The sequence below is a fragment of the Homo sapiens genome, chromosome 9 (genome assembly GCF_000001405.40).
Source record: "Homo sapiens chromosome 9, GRCh38.p14 Primary Assembly".
Taxonomy (NCBI): Eukaryota; Metazoa; Chordata; class Mammalia; order Primates; family Hominidae; genus Homo; species Homo sapiens.
In genome coordinates, this window is record NC_000009.12 from 94,735,806 (window position 1) to 94,750,016 (window position 14,211).

Genomic DNA, 14,211 nt, shown 5'->3' on the forward strand with positions numbered 1-14,211 from the left:
ACTGATTGGCAGTGACTCCTCATTCTCTCTTTATCCCAGTCCTTGGCAACTACTTTCTGTCCCTGTGGATTTGCCTATTCTGGACATTTCATGTAAATGTAATCATAGAATATGTGGCCCTTCGTATCTTCCTTCTTTCACGTCTCACGGTGTTCTCAAGGTTCGTCCAGGTTGTGGCATGTCGGTACTTCAGTACTTCATTCCTTTTTACAGCTGAATAATATTCCACTGTGTGGATGGACATTTTGTTGATCCATTCATCAGTTGATGGTCATTTGGTTGTTTTGCTGTGCGTATGTTTTTTAAAACAATATTAACTATATCTGGGCCTTTTCAAATCATCACTGGATAATTCTGTAGAGTGTCTTAGAGGGGATTCCTATAGGAAGTGGGGACTGGATTTAGAGTCCCTTCTGTTCATGGATTTGAGGAGTCTGTATCTGTAATTTCTTTGGGCTAGTGAAATACATTCTTCTAAGAGCTAGAGCAGCTACTTTTTCTTCATAGCAGAACATTTGATATTGAAAAAAATCTTTTTACATGACTTGTTTAAGGACTATATTTCAAAATAGTTTCTATTAAAAATAGTATTCTTTAGCATTTCTGGGGAGGAGGAACTCTTACTGAAAAAGCTGGTATTTTTGTCTGTATTTTCTTTTCTTTTCCAATCTCTTCATTTTTACTCTACCGAACCCTATAACCCAACTCTATTAATCTAGATCCTCTTTCCAGCACATAAATATTTATGGACAGTAATAAATTATATTAGTTCTAATAGAGTTTAAAATGTTTTGTGAATTTTTATCCCAGCATGACAAAAATCACTGGGTGGTCTGATACCACCTTCATCTTTAAATATTTAACCAATTCTTTTTATTTTTAAAGGCTACATTAATTGAATGATATCCATAAAAGTGTTTAATAGTACTTACCTTGGGCCCACAGTGCGCAAAGCACTTCATGGAATTAAGGTCCTTTTTGCATCTGCTCTCCTCATACCTTATTTCAACTGTGGTACTCAAAATCTGGGCCCACCACTCTGCAGTGGGGACAGTGACTGAACTTGCATGTGACTAGGATTATGAAGGGTTTAGAAACTGTGTCATGTGAGAGTTGGCTGAAAGAATGGAGGTTGTTCAGTTGTTAAAGAGACTACTCAGGCAATGACAGCCCTCCCAGCCATTCAGAGCTTGTCTAGAGAAATCTTATTCTTCCTTTGGGTAGTAGTGGGGAGAAACTGGAGTGAAAGGATATGTCAACAGGCTGTTAATTTTGTTGGGTTATAAGTAGGCCAAAAACATGGAGATTTTTTTTAATGTTTCTTTCTTCTTTTTTTTTCTGTTAGACAGAGTCTTGCTTTGCTATCCCAGCTGGAGTGCAGGCTCAAACTCCTGGGCTCAAGCGATCCTTTGCCTCAGCCTCCTGAGTAGCCGAGAGTACAAGCACATGCCACCATGCCTGGTTAATTTTAAAATTTTTCTTTTGTAGAGATGGGGGTCTTGCTATATTGACCAGGCTGGTTTCAAACTCCTGGCCTCAAGCAATTCTCTGGCCTTGGCCTCCCAAAGTGCTGGGATTACAGGTGTGAGCCACTGTGCCCAGCCCAGTTTTTCATTCTTATGTACCTTTCCACTATCTTTCAGTTCCTAGAATATCTAGTCCAGTGTCTGATGGTAAGAATGGTTTCTGGATTGTATTTTACCTGTTCAGGATATATGGAATGTTAAATTATTGCATCAGCATTAATGCATTATTTTAGCCTTAACAACAGTGTATAAATTTGTAAAGTGCTGTTTGATATTATACAATTTTATATAGCTAAGTTTTATTAGATCAGGATTAAAATATACCTTCCATTTGGTATAATGTGTAAAGTTTAGTCACTTCTTAAAATATAAGACTGCAATATGTATAACTTGCCATGCCAATAAGCAACAAGATGTGGTGTGCTTAAGAGTGAGGGAGAAGTCTCTGGTTGTGGTGAATATCCGTATTTGGTTGGGGATATAGGGAGTTCCTGGCCTGTTTCACTTTTGACTGTCTGGTTCAGCTTATGGTTCAGCTTAGGATGGAATGTACTGCTCTGTGCTTTAAACTGCCATTTTTGATCTAGGCTTGGACTGGGGTTCGGGCAGTAGAGTGTAGTGCTGAGAGTTCAGGGTCTGGGGCCAAACCAGGGGAATCTCACTTCTGCCATCTCATCTTTGTGAACCCAGGAAAGTATCTTAACTTCTCTGGGCCTCAGTTTACTTATCTGTAAGATGGAGATGACAGTACATACCTCAATGGGTAGTGAGGATTTAATGCAATAGTGTACTTCATGTACCTAGCCTGTCTCATAGCAAGCAGCCAATAGTTTTTTGGTGCAGTTGCTACTTGTTAATATGAGTGTCTGAAGGTCAAGGGCCTTCTCTAAGGTTTCTGAATAGAGGAGTTCTGAATTCACTGAATTCCCAAAGGAGAAAGACTCTGGTTCACCTGGTTTCTCTAAGTCATTCTAGGTTCCTGTTGCCTGCTCAGGACAACACCTGGGGAAGTTTTGGGTGAATGGGATTCTCCTGGCCTTCCACTCTCTGAATATGTCCCTGCCTTGTTCCTGGCCTCTGACATGAAGTGTTTGTGTAGTGGGAGTTCTCTGGCGGTTTTCAGAGGAGCATGGCTAAATGTGTAGATAATCCATAGGAACACTAGAACATCAGAGCACTGTGAACAGTTTTGTACCACCTGTGCTACAGGAGATACAGAAAAGGACACGAGAAAAAAAATTATTATTATTATTTTTTTTTGAGATGGAGTCTCGCTCTGTCACCCAGGCTGGCATGCAGTGGCGCAATCTCCGCTCACTGCAAGTTCCGCTCCCCGGGTTCACACCATTCTCCCGCCTCAGCCTCCCGAGTAGCTGGGACTACAGGCGCCCGCCACCACGCTTGGCTAATTTTTTTGTATTTTTAGTAGAGACGGGGTTTCACCGTGTTAGCCAGGATGGTCTCGATCTCCTGACTTCGTGATCCGCCCGCCTCAGCCTCCCAAAGTGCTGGGATTACAGGCGTGAGCCGCTGTGCCCCAAGAGAAAAATATTTTAAATTAATGATAAGGACAAAGTGAACTGTAACTAAATCCCCATGAATAATAAAACTACATTCAGTTTTGTATGATTGAAATATCTATTCAGAAAGTGTCTATTAAGCATGAATTCATACTGGTCAGTCTAGGAGCAAGAATGCCAGGAAAGCTCCTGGGCCACTCATGACCAAAACTACGTCTCAAGTCCATGTCAGGTTCTAACTGCTCTCCTCCTGAAGGCAGCTTGCAGGGCTCATCTGGCTTCCTCTGCTCTCAGAGCTGCCTCCACCCACCCATCTCCTGGAATTCTGTATTTCCCAAGGTTGGCTGCAGCGTGGCCGTACTTTCCTTAGCTCCCAACTTTCCTTGTTGTCCTGGTGGTTGTCTTCAGACCCTTTTGGGGTTAAGGATTTTCTTACTAATCCTTATGGAAAAATAAAGGGCAATTTAAAGATTTGGTTAAAGATAAGGGCAGTTTAAAGATTTGGAGTGTTGGCTGGGCCCAGTGGCTCACGCCTGTAATCCCAGCACTTTGGGAGGCCAAGGTGGGCAGATCACCTGATATCAGGAGTTCGACACCAGCCTGACCAACATGGTGAAACCCTGTCTCTACTAAAAATACAAAAATTAGCCAGGCGTGGTGGCAGGCGCCTGTAATCCCAGCTACTTGGGAGGCTGAGGCAGGCGAATTGCTTGAACCGGGAGGTGGAAGTTGCAGTGAGCCGAGATCGTGCCATTGCACTCCAGCCTGGGGGACAAGAGCGAAACTTCGTCTCAAAAAAAAAAAAAAAAAGATTTGGAGTGTTTACAATTGTAGTTATCAGTCCACTGCTAAATAGTAACCGCTAAGATGTAACTGGAAGCCAGACCAGGCGTCTCTCCTTGTTACGCTAGGCATGAAGTTCACCAGACCTATTCTATTGGTTGGACTGTTCTTCTACCCACTGAAACCCCTCCTTTCTACCACTAGTGGAGACTGAGGAAATCAGGAAAGAACCACGAGAGCCCTCCCCATCTTGAGGGTGGAGTTTGCATTGCCAAGGACCTCTAGATAAGTTGATGCCCTATTTTAAAAGATACCTCAGATTTGTTCTAATCAGGTATGGCATGATGACAGACACAGAAACAAGCTGCTTTTGAAAGAAGAGTTTATTATTATAGTTCCCAGAAGGAGGGGGTGCATCACGCCCTCATATGACACAGGGCCATATGAGGAAGCACCGGGATTGGTCAGGAGGCAGAAAGAGTTGGGGGAAGCATGGGCAGGAGCTTTTATTGGGGTTTCTGTGGGAAAGGCAAGGCTAGCAGGCTGAGCAGATGAAGGATTGGCTAGTTTGAATAATTTTGGAGGGCTCTAGGGGTGGTCCCTGCTTGTGTAGTACCTGGCTGTGGGGTGATGTAGGACAGTGGCAATATTGCTTGGGCTATGAGAGTTAGATAAGGACGTGGTTGTGGACTGTGGATTGGTTGGTTTGCCTATGAAAGGCATGCTCACAGGCAAGTTCTTTGCTATCTCTTGGAATTAGCCCTGGGAGGAGCAATTTCTCCAGGATTAGCAAGGCTCCAAGATGTCAAAACATCATAAAATATAGAAAATAAAAAACATGATTAATGCATAACCCTTCCAGCAGAACTGTGCTTATCACACAAGTGATTCTTTTGGGAGCATTTTCTTATTGAGTGATAGAAAGAATGGTAAAGTGGCTCCTTGCACCCCTCGAGTTTACTGTCTAGCTTAGTAAATAAGGCCTGCACACATGAAAGTGACCAGCCATGCAGGACACAAGATCACATGCCAGAAAGTTCAGCATAGTATAATGGGAGCTCAGAGAAAGGAGAGATGAGAATGTTGTAGAAGCAGTAGAGGGCAGTGGTTCAGAGGCTGCTGGGTCCATATCCGGCTTCATCAGTTACAAACTGTGTAACCTTAAGCAAGCTGGAAAATTCCTGTGTTTTAGTTTCCTTATTTGTAATATAAGTTTAATAATAGTAGTACCCATATCAGAGTTACAGTGAAGACTAAATGAGTTAATACATTGAAAGGGCCTAGCACAAAGGCTGGCGCTTAATAAGAACTCAGTAAGCATCAGCTGTTATAGGGCTGGTGAGGAAAGTTTCACAGAGTGGATACAATTGATTGTTACCTTAAAGATGGGGAGGTGGCAGGAGGAGAGAGAGAGTGAGTGAGAAAGTGTTTCTCTGTTGGGTTGGGGTGGATGTGGGGTGGTGGCTGGAAATGAGCCTGGCAAATTCAGGTAATAGAAGGTTGGTCTGATAGGATAAGGTTGAAAAAATAGGTTGGTGAGAGTTGTGAATGGTAAGGATTTTGCATTTTTTCTTTAAACCATGGAAATTCATTCAGGGCCTTTTTCCCCCTTTTGTTTTTATTTTATTTTTTATTTTTTTATTTTTTTATTTTTTTGAGATGGAGTCTTGCTCTGTCGCCCAGGCTGGAGTGCAGTGGTGCGATCTCGGCTCACTGCAAGCTCCGCCTCCCAGGTTCACGCCATTCTTCTGCTTCAGCCCCCCGAGTAGCTGGGACTACAGGCGCCCGCCACCATGCCTGGCTAATTTTTGTATTTTTAGTAGAGACTGGGTTTCACCGTGTTAGCCAGGATGGTCTCCATCTCCTGACCTCGTCATCTGCCCGTCTCGGCCTCCCAAAGTGTTGAGATTACGGGTGTGAGCCACTGCACCCGGCCTTCCCCCTTCTTTTTTTTAAAAGCAGGGACGTGACATTAAATTAGCGCTTCAGGAATCTTACTCTTAGTGGTATGGTTCTATAGAGAGGAGAGACTTGGACAGGTTATATAAGTCAGAATAGATTAAGTTAGTAGTAATTAAAAACAACTCCAAAATCTTTGCGGCCCCCCAAAAAAGAAGGTACGTTTCTTGGTCATGCTATTCCATCACAGCTGAACTGGGGACTCTGCTCATCACAGTCATTCTGAGACCCAGGCTGATAGAACAACCAACATGTCACATTTTGTTTACCTTTAGAGAGCAGAGAAGAGCACTCTAGAGGGTTATGCACTAATGATTAAATGCTAGGCCTGGAAGGGACACGCATACTTCCATTTACAACTCAGCACTAGAGTGCAGTCACATGTCAGTAACCAGTTACAGGGGTTCAAGAAACCTTCTATGTTTGTGGGGAGGGGCTGGGTAGAAAGAACTGGAAGTATTCAAAAATAGCACTGACGACCACACAGGGAGTCTTATTTAGAAGGTGGTTGTGTAATAGTTGAAGTGGGTGGTCTTAGCTGCTGGGTCACAGTTGTTGCAGTCAATACAGAGAAGAGTTGTATACAAGAATTTAAAGCAGTAGAATTTAAAAGTTGATCATTGATTGGGTCGAGTTACAAAGAAGAGAGGAGTCAATGTGAAGCAAAACTTTTGGTGTGTGTTGAGGGGATGGTAGCAGACCAGTGGGGTGCCCTCAAGGCCTCTAGAGCTGTGCTCCTTGATGAGTAGCCCACCAACCAGTGCCTACCCACAGGCAGTAATTGGTTTGCAAGGAAATAAGTGCAGAAATAGAGGGTACTCATTTAGAAATGTTTATATTAATTCTTTTTTTTTTTTTGGACTTAGTCTCACTCTGTCGCCAGGCTGATGAGTGCAGTGGCGCGATCCTTGGCTCACTGCAACCTCTACCTCCCAGGTTCAAGTGATTCCCCTGCCTCAGCCTCCCGAGTAGCTGGGACTACAGGCACGCGCCACCACGCCTGGCTAATTTTTTGTATTTTAGTAGAGACAGGGTTTCACCATGTTGGCCAGGATGGTCTTGATCTCCTGACCACGTGATCCGCCTGCCTCGGCCTCCCAAAATGCTGGGATTACAGACGTGAGCCACTGCACCTGGCCACTTTTCTTTATTTCTATGCTATAGTTTGCCCTGATTATATTTATGTTGAATCTAATACAAATTTGGGGCATGTAATTTTGTGTTTTTTTCTTTTTCTTTTTAGTGATCTATTTTTATTATATTTTATGAAAGTATAAGGGGAAAAATAACCGCAGATTGTTGGAGAAGCATTGCTTTGGAGATAGGAGGCAGGGATGTAGAGATCAGAGCTGGATAGCAAGTTGAATCCTTTTTGTAGAATAATGAGTTGAGTACCTGAGATGTGAGCAAGAGAAAGACTTCAGAAAGAGAAGAGGGCCCACGGCTAAGCCTTGGGAGGCACCCAGTGTTCTGGAGACAGGCATGTAAGAAGAGATGCAGGCTGCTCTCTGTGGAGTAGCCATTCCTTTATTCCTTTACTTTTTTAATAAACTTGCTTTCACTTTGCAATATAAAAGAAGAAGAAGAAGAAGAAGAAGAAGAAGAAGAGGAAGAAGAGGAAGAAGAGGAAGAAGAAGAGGAAGAAGAAGAGGAAGAAGAGGAAGAAGAAGAAGAAGAAGAGATGTGGATGATACTGTGTCCCAGGAATCATCGGAGGTGGTGGAAAGTTAGTGGTATGAGATGCCACAGAGAGTCAAGGAAAATAAGGCCTGAGGTTAAACTAGACTTGGCAAGAAGTAAGTCATTGTGAATGTTTGAAAGTAAACTTGTAGTGAAGTGGTGTGATCAGATGCCAGATTTCAACAGTTTAAGAAATATGCAGTCACAAAATAGAAAAGGTTATAACCTTCTGGTCAGAAAAGTTTGATAGATAAACAAAAGCAACAACTAGAGTGTTAGCTATTGAGCCCAGCAAGGGAAAGCACATTTTGTTATTGTTTTTTCCAATAGGAAATCATGAGCAACTCAAAAGGCTTCTACCACCTGGAAGATGGGAAAATCAATGAGGGAGGAGGGAGATGGCAGTGTTCCATGGCTGGGAATGGAGTGGAGGACAGAGGCCATGGGAGTGGACCCGGGGGTGAGGACAGGGGTTGGATTGAACCCAGGTAACTACCCACACAGCAGATAAGGTCATTAGGAGGGGAAACGTGGATGGGAATCTGCAAATCTCAGTTGACTCAAACAGGGAAAAATGCAAGCTGGCATACCTGGGAGTTAGTCTTGATGCTGCGGTAGATGTGGTCAGAGTTAAGCGAGCAGGGACTTGGGAGTCCCAGTGAGAGCATTAATGAAGTGCTTTGACATTGTGACCATGGGGTCCAGCGTGGGCTACTCAGCTTCTTCCTCTAGTCCACACTCGGTAAAAATGAAGGTTACTGAATAACAAGGCAATGGTGGGGAGGGAGGAATGGAGTGGGGTTACTTAATCCTTAATCATGATTAAGAATAAGATATGGGGCTGTGCGCGGTGGCTTATGCCTGTAATCCAGACTTTGGGAGGCTGAGGCGGGCGGATCACGAGGTCAGGAGATTGAGACCATCCTGGCTCACACAATGAAACTCCATCTCTACTAAAAATACAAAAAATTAGCTGGGTGTGGTGGCAGGCGCCTGTAGTCCCAGCTACTCGGGAGCCTGAGGCAGGAGAATGGCCTGAACCCGGGAGGCGGAGCTTGGCAGTGAGCCGAGATCGTGCCACTGCACTCCAGCCTGGGTGACAGAGTGAGACTCTGTCTCAACAACAACAACAACAAAATATGGTGGGCTGGTTGCGGTGGCTCATGCCTGTAATCCTAGCACTTTGAGAGGCCAAGGTGGGCGGATCACCTGAGGTTGGGAGTTCGAGACCAGCCTGACCAACATGGAGAAACCCCGTCTCTAGTAAAAATACAAAAATTAGCTGGGCATGGTAGTGCATGCCTGTAATCCTAGCTGCTTGGGAGGCTGAGGCAGGAGAATCACTTCAACCCAGGAGACGGAGGTTGCAGTGAGACAAGATTGTGCCATTGCACTCCAGCCTGGGCAACAAGAGTGAGACTCTGTCTCAAAAAAAAAAAAAAAAAAAAAGAATAAAATATGGTACAAATTGGATTTACGATAAAATTATTTAGTTTAAATTATATCTAATTTTGGAAAACACTCAGCAAAGTTATGAAAAATACAGATACAGTGCTTTAAGTGCTCTAAACATTGTAAAATTTGAAAAATGCTTCAAAACTTCCACCTGTTGAAATAATCTGTTGACTTCTCATTTTCATTGAGCTCTTTTTTTATTTTTAATTTTTCTGGATACATATTAGGTATATATGTACCTATAAGGGTACATGAGATATTGTGATACAGGTATACGATATGTAGTAATCACATCAGGGAAATGGGGTATCCATCACCTCAAGCATTGATTATTTCCTTGTGTTACGAATATTCCAATCATACTCTCAGTTATTCTAAAATGCAAAACAAATTATTGCTGACTGTAGTCACCCTGTTGTGCTATCAAATACTGTATCTCAACATTGTCTGTAACTGTATCTTTGTACCCATTAACCATCCCCGTTCTCCCTCCTACCTAGCCTCTGGAAACTACCAGTGTACTCTATCTGCATGAGTTCAATTGTTTTAATTTTTTTTTTTTTTTTGAGACAGAGTCTGGCTCTGTCGCCTAGGCTGGAGTGCAATGGGTGATCTCGGCTCACTGCAAGCTCCGCCTCCTGGGTCCACGCCATTCTCCTGCCTCAGCCTCTGGAGCAGCTGGGACTACAGGCGCCTGCCACCATGCCCGGCTAATTTTTTGTATTTTTAGTAGAGACGGGGTTTCACCGTGTTAGCCAGGTTGGTCTCGATCTCCTGACCTCGTGATCTGCCTGCCTCAGCCTCCCAAAGTGCTGGGATTACAGGCGTGAGCCACCGTGCCCGGCAATTGTTTTAATTTTTAGCTCCCACAGATGAGTGAGAACATGGAAGTCTGTCTTTCTGTGCCTGTCTTTTTTCACTTAACATAATGTTCTCCGTTTCCATCCATATTGTTGCAAATGACAGGATCTTATTCTTTTTAACTGCTGAGTAGTACTCTACTGTGTATATGTACCACATTTTCTTTATCTGTTAGTCTGTTAATGGACACTTAGGTTGATGCCAAATCTTGGCTATTGTGAATAGTGCTGCAGTAAGTATGGGAGTGCAGGTATGTCTTTGATATACTAATTTCCTTTCTTTTGAGTATATACCTAGCAGTGGGATTGATGGAACATACGGTATTTCTATTTGTGATTTTTTGAGGAACCTCCATACTGTACTTCATAGTGGTTGTGCTAATTTACATTCCCACCAACAATGTACGACAGGGGTTCCCCTTTCTTCACATCGTTGCTTGCGTTCGTTATTGCCTCTTTCATTGAACTCTTTCGAGTGTTAGAATGAGACAAGAGCTGGGCAGAGATGTAGTGTGTCTATTGTTGTGCCCGCCTCTCCCTTCCCTGACCTAATTACTCTCCCTTCACCACCCTGAATCCAGCCAGTGGGTTTCCTCTAGCCTTTGCTATGGTAGGTAGTGGACCTCTGTTTGGTTTTCCATGTGACATTGATATAAGGTATCATGTCATGGTTACTTGGATTGCTGTGCAATAGAGGCCATGGATATCTCGGTTAAGAACACTCTGGAGTTCAACTGCTTGGGTTGACATCTTGGAAATCTCAGACACTTAGGCTCTCTGAGCATCATTTCATTATCTGTAATCTTTCCAGTACCTTGATTGTCAGTCCCCTAGGCAGGTATAACCTCTTAAAAAATGGAGTAGAAAAGTGAAATCTCCATTTCTTTATAACTGTAATGAGTTTTCCCAGGAATCCTTTTCTGACCACTCTGCTATAATTTAGTTTAAGTGGTACGCTTCAGAAAACTGAAACATGCTATACTTTGCAAGCAAGTAGCAATCAAAGGGATACATTCTTTCACCTTTTAAAGTAGAGTGAAATCACTTCCAATCTTATCTTTGCAACCCAAATGCCTGCTGATAATGTGAGCATAAACACATTAGGCACCAAAGAGGAATGGCATCTGGGTGCGAAGATGTGATCAACAAAGCCAGAGTCAACACAAGCTGCCATCAGGGAAGCCAGAGTTCATCACATCACATCATGTTTCAGCATAGTTCAGGGTAGACATATACTGATGGAATAAAATCAGTTTTTGTTTTCAATGTTCACATTTTAGACCCCCTCCCCCCCACTTGACTGGTTATAATATATAAATCAAGCCACAACTGACAGTGATTTGCTTTTTTTGTTCAGGAAAAGGTCTTTGACTGAGACTGACTTGGCCTTACTGCATTGATCTTCAACACAGGCACTTTTTATAATTCCCACAACAGCATTAACTCCAGTGGGTTTTTTTTTTTTTTTTGAATATACATATCACAATAGAGTCTTTCATTACATGATCACAAATTATATGCAGTCACTCTTACGTGCTTCCTGAAAGCAGTAAATTTAGAGCAAAGAGAGACTGTTTAAAACTTGAGACCAGAGAGCACAGTTTATCTTATTTACAGTTTGGCTTAAAGATTGGTCTTTAAGTTAATATCATACCACATGTGGTAATCCTGCAAAGTGCTACATATTTTTATTTATAGTTAAGGGAATAAAGCAAAATCCCCTTTTCATTATGTTATCTTGCATTATTTACTCAGTGATAAATGACATTGCCCCACGGGTATGAGTTTTGTAGTGAAAGACCCTATTGTAGCATATATTTATGCTAGTTAGAGTTACGGTTCCAGAGAGAATTTAAACTCTGAATATGCTGGTACTTGTACAGTTAGAACATATAGCTCAATGTTGTTTTAACACTATATTTTTACTTCGAGTAAAAGAAAAATAAATAGGCATGAACAAAGGGGAAAAGCTTAAGGTTGAAATGCAAGAAACCAAATAAAATGACTAAAAGCATATCCTAAACTCAAAGATTAAAATTTTACCAGAGATAATGGTGGTCATTAGATTGGCCAGTTTCTGCTGTTTAAAATGACATCAGCTTTCAAAGTTTATTAACTGTTTAAGGGTACCAGGAACAATTTTTAGCAAGTCGGGGAGATATGAAAGTGAGCTGAAAGAAGAGTGCTGAAGGGCTGGAAAGTTTAACACCTGCCCCAACATTTGAGGAAAAAACTGGTTCCATGCTATGTCAGTTTGTCCAAACCAATATTCTTGAGAATTTCTCCTGAAGGAGGAAGCCAGTAGATATTTTGGAGGGATGGTTAGTGTTTTAGAATATATTTATTTTGAAATAGAATAATAAATAAAAAAATAGGAAATTCCAATCTTGAATAAAGTAAAAATTAGTTCAGCCTCTAGTCATTCAAAACTTTGGATAAATTAACCAAGAATGGGCTGCCATTTTGCTAAGTACAAAAATAAAGACTTTCTAATAAATTAATAATATAAGTAAGATTTCAGGACTAATATATTTGAAGCAAATATGTCCCCTGCCCATTCTTTCTGCACCTGAAAGGTATCATTTCACTGTTTTCTGTGGCCTTCATTGTTTCTCTGAGAATTCAGATCATTCTGATAAAAAGCCCCCTGTCATCTGTGTCGTTGTTCCTCTGTGTGTAATATGTCATTTTGTAATGGCTACTTTCAAGATTATTTTTAGTTTTTCAGTAGTTTGATAATGATGTGCCTAGGTATGTTTTCCTTTGTATTTTTCCTGTGTAAATAAACTTTTGAAGCTTTATATCTCTCACCAAATTTGGAAAATTTTAACTATTTTTAAATAAATGATTTCTTTTGAAATACTTTTAGATTTACCAAAAAGTTGCAAACATAGTATAGGGAGTTCCCAATTCATCATCCAGCTTCTCTTCATGTTCTTATAATCATGGTATATTTATTAAACTAAAAATGTAGCCCTGGCATAATGCTTTTATCTACAGTTTTTCCACTAATGTCCTTTTTGTTTGTTTGTTTGTTTTAGGATCCAGTCTAGGATACCACATTGCATTTTATCATATCCCCTGGACACCTCCATTCTGTAACACTTTGTCAGATTTTACTTGTTTTTTATAGCCTTCACACTTTTGAAGAGTACTGGTTAGGTATATTTTAGAATGTCCCTCAGTATGGGTTTGTCTGATGTTTCCTCATGCTTACACTGAAGTTTCAGGAATACTACAGAGGTAAGGTACCCTTCTCATTGCATCATCCTAGAGGATAATGATAACAATATGACTTATCACTGGTGATATTAAACTTGATTAAACTGCCTGATATCTCTACTGTAAACATAATATTTTTTCTTTTCCATTCTGTATTGCTTGGAAGCAAATAATTAAGTTTGGCCTATATTCAAGGGGAAAGGAATTAAGTTCTACATCTTTGAAGAGGTAATATCTACATCGATTTTTTGGAATTCTTACATAAGGAAGATGTAGTCTCTCCCTTCATGATTATTTGTTCAACCAATTTAAACAAATTTATTTATTCAATTTAAACAAATGATTACTTATTCAATTATTTGTTTATATCAGAATATTCTTTGGGTTTAATCCAATACTATCATTATTTATTTTCTTACTCAAAGTGTTCCAGCTTTGGGCATTGAAAGCTCTTTCAGGTTGGTTCCTGTGTCCCAATTCTTCTGTTTGTCTGTCTGTTTTCTTCTTTACTTTAGAGGTCCATGTGATGCTTCAGATCCATCTTGTATTTTCCCTGCCCAGCCTGAGAATCAGCCATGTCTCCAAGGAGGGCTGTTTCCTTTTGTTGGAAAATGGTATTTAGAAACCAAGATCTAGGTGCCAGTTGTGCTCACTGCTTACTGTTTTTTAAAGTATTTTTTTTGTGACCACATTCTCTTTTGCCTGTCCATCTTGGACTCCAATTATTTGTCCCAAAAGTACCTGTTCATTCTTTTTCACGTTTTTCTGTTCTTTACACTGGATAATTTCTATGTAACTATTTTCTGGTTCACTGTCTTCTATAATCATGAATCTTCTGTTAAAACCATCCAGTGAAGTTTTTATCTCAAATATAGTATTTTTCAGTTCTAGAATTTTCTTTTCCTTTTCAAAAAAGTAATTCCTATTTCTTTGCTGAGTTTTCCTTTTAGTTCATGTATTACAGCATTTATGCCTAATTATAATATGAATAGCTGCTTTAAAATCTTTATCTGTTAATTCTAATATTTGGGTCCATTCAAGTTGGTCTCTACTAATTGCTTTTTCTTTGAGTTTGGGTCATGTTTTCTTATTTCTTTTATGTCTAGTATTATGTTTTATTTTAGACATTGTATTTGATACTTTGTAGAAACTCTGGATTCTGTTATGTTCTTCTGAAGAATATTGATGCTTTGTATTAACAGACAG

At 40.9% G+C, this 14,211-nt stretch overlaps 1 protein-coding gene across 49 annotated transcripts in view, besides 1 other annotated feature; it reads left to right on the forward strand.

Moving 5' to 3' along the window:
* Positions 1-14,211, forward strand: part of AOPEP (aminopeptidase O (putative)) — a 423,526-nt gene that overhangs the window by 9,107 nt on the left and 400,208 nt on the right. The window lies entirely within an intron of this gene.
* Positions 8,056-8,557: an enhancer, noted in NCBI's record as "H3K4me1 hESC enhancer chr9:97506143-97506644 (GRCh37/hg19 assembly coordinates)". NCBI's record gives its function as "activates a minimal SCP1, AML or CMV promoter by ChIP-STARR-seq in primed H9 embryonic stem cells {active_cell/tissue: H9 hESC(primed)}" and the evidence as "EXISTENCE:reporter gene assay evidence [ECO:0000049][PMID:30033119]".